At 36.4% G+C, this 2,750-nt stretch overlaps 1 annotated feature.

Moving 5' to 3' along the window:
• Positions 1,472-1,551: a silencer, noted in NCBI's record as "silent region_20780". NCBI's record gives its function as "represses an Ori minimal core promoter by ATAC-STARR-seq in GM12878 lymphoblastoid cells {active_cell/tissue: GM12878}" and the evidence as "EXISTENCE:reporter gene assay evidence [ECO:0000049][PMID:35858748]".

Below are 2,750 nucleotides of genomic sequence, written 5' to 3' on the forward strand. Positions count from 1 at the left end.
CATATGGCAAGTGAGGCACTTGCCTCAGGTGCAAAATTTAAGAAAGTACCAAAACATTTAAGAATCAAGATACATGGTATCTGGGGAGGTCATTATGTTAATTGAAATAAGGCAGGCACAGAAAGACAGATATTGCATGTTCTCACTCATATGTGGGAACCAAAAAAAGTGGATCTCATGCAGATAGAGAGTAGATGGGTGGTTACCAGAGGTGGGGGTGGGGGGATGAAAAGAAATTGATTAATAAGTGCAAATACACAGTTTCACAGAAGGAATAAGACCTAGTATTCAAAAGATCAGTAGGGTGTCTATATACAGTTTACAATAATTTATTGTACATTTCAAAATAGCTAGAAGAGAATGATTTGAATGTTTCTGGCATCAGGAAAGGATGAATTTTTAAGGTGATGAATATCCCAAGTACACTGATCTGATCTTTACAATTTATATGAATGTATTAAGTTATCACATGTACCCTGAAGGTATGTACATCTACTATGCATCAATAAAAAATAAAAAAGATACATAGTATTTAATATGATACTTTAAAAAATCAAAATTGGTGCAAAAAAGTCCTCAATGAACAAAATATCAAAATGTTAAATACAGGATTAGCAACTGTGCAGTGTCGAGTCACACTGGAGCTTGAGGCAAAATGAAAAATTAGCCATAGTGATAATATCTTTATTTAACATTTTGATATTTTGTCATAAATTTTTTCATTAATTTTGATTGTAGAAATAATAATGCATTAACATATTATCTATGTTGATAACTGAATATTTTGGCACCCTGTTAACTTTTGTGCCCAAGCTGAGTGCCTCACTTGTCTCACCCTGGTCCCAAGCAGAGATGTTGCTGCTCAGGGCATATGCTTCTGACCATTTCCAAGCTTCTTTGCATAGATGTACACATAGTCATCAGAATCCTGTTGACTTTATTTCTAAGACAGATTTCCCAGTCCTTCTACATCTCTGCATCCCATCACTACCATCTCAGACCAAGTCACCATCTTCTCTCACTGGAGATGTTTGCATTAGCCTCCTAACATTTAAATTGTAATGAAATTCAAATTAATGAGTTTCTGTTATCTAAGTCATTGCCATACCCACACACCCAACATTGTCTAGAACTTCTCCTATGTTATCTTCTAATAGTTTTATAGTTTTGCATTTTGTATCTAGGTCTATGGTCTATTTTCAGTTAACTTTTGTGAATCTATTTAAAAAGCACTGTTCTCCTAACTTTTTTACTCAGCCATGAATTTTTGAGATCTTTCTCTCTCCCCCAACCCCCTGTGGATATATATGTATAGTTTCACACATGTCACCACTCTATTGTTTTCTATCACATGTATATATCACTTTCTACTGACGTGGTATATTCAGTGATAGGCATTCAGATTTTTTCCTTTTTTTGATAGTACAAGCAATGCTGCATCCTCGTCTACATCTTCTTGTCCATGTGTACAGGTGTTTCTCTAAGAGAGATGCATGGAAGTGAAACTGCTGCTGCAGAGTGGATGTGCATTTTCAGTTTCAATAGATCCTGGCAGAGTACTGTCCACAAGCAGAGGATGAGAGTGTCTGTCTCCCCCACAACCCAGTCAACATTTGATGTTGTCTAACTTTGCTAATCTTAAGGTTGAAAAAAATGGTATCTCATAAAAATTATTTTCCCCTAATTATCAGTGAGGATGAACATATTTTTACATGTGTATTGATTTTTAAAATATTTTATCTGCTGTTAAATGATCATTTTCTATCTTTTGGCAGTTTTTTTCTATTGGGATGTTTTTCTTCTTCTGGTGAATTTGAAGGAGTTCTTTATACTGCATATCAATATTTGACTGTTATATTTATTGCAAATACTTTTCCCCAGTCTCTTTATTGTCTTTTAAAGTTGTTTATGGTGTGTTTTGCCATACACAAGTTTCCAATTCACCTGTAGGCAAATACGTTGATTTTATTCCCCTTATTGTTTCTGTTTTTTTTTTGAGACAAAGTCTTGCTCTTGTCCCCCAGGCTGGAGTGCGATAGCACAATCTTGGCTCACTGCAACCTCACCTCCCGTGTTCAAGCGATTCTCCTGCCTCAGCCCCCCGAGTAGCTGGGATTACAGGCGCCTGCCGCCTGGCTAGTTTTGGTATTTTTAGTAGAGACAGGGTTTCACCATGTTGGCCAGGCTGATCTCGAACTCCTGACCTCAGGTGATCCACCTGCCTCGGCCTCCCAAAGTGCTGGGATTACAGGCGTGAGCCACTGCACCCTGCCTGTTTCTGTTTTTTAGGTCTTGCTTAAGAGAACTTTTCTTACCTCTAGATTACAAAATTATCACTCTATATTTCCTTATAATAATTTTAACTATATATATGCTTGTTGATTGATTTGTAGGTCTTTTGTTGACTTGGAATCTATATTTCTGTATGATGTGAAGAATATAATTTTATTTTTTAAATTAATGAATTTCTAATTATTTGCTTATACTCTACACGTCAACTTGTTTCAGTATCGAGTTTATCTTTGTGGGCTGTATCTTGGTGGGTATGAGGGGATAAGCATGGTATCTACAGAGTGTGATCTATTCCTTTCTGCAAACTATAAATACTTAGATTCTTAGTAGTCACTGGCTAATGAAAAGGATTCTACATCACTAAATGGTCAGGATGGGACCATCCACTGTATCAGTGCAGGCTACCCAATGCCAGACAAACGTCCCTAGATCTAGATTGGAGAAAATATTCCTCAAAG

This window comes from Homo sapiens, chromosome X (assembly GCF_000001405.40).
Source record: "Homo sapiens chromosome X, GRCh38.p14 Primary Assembly".
Taxonomy (NCBI): domain Eukaryota; kingdom Metazoa; phylum Chordata; class Mammalia; order Primates; family Hominidae; genus Homo; species Homo sapiens.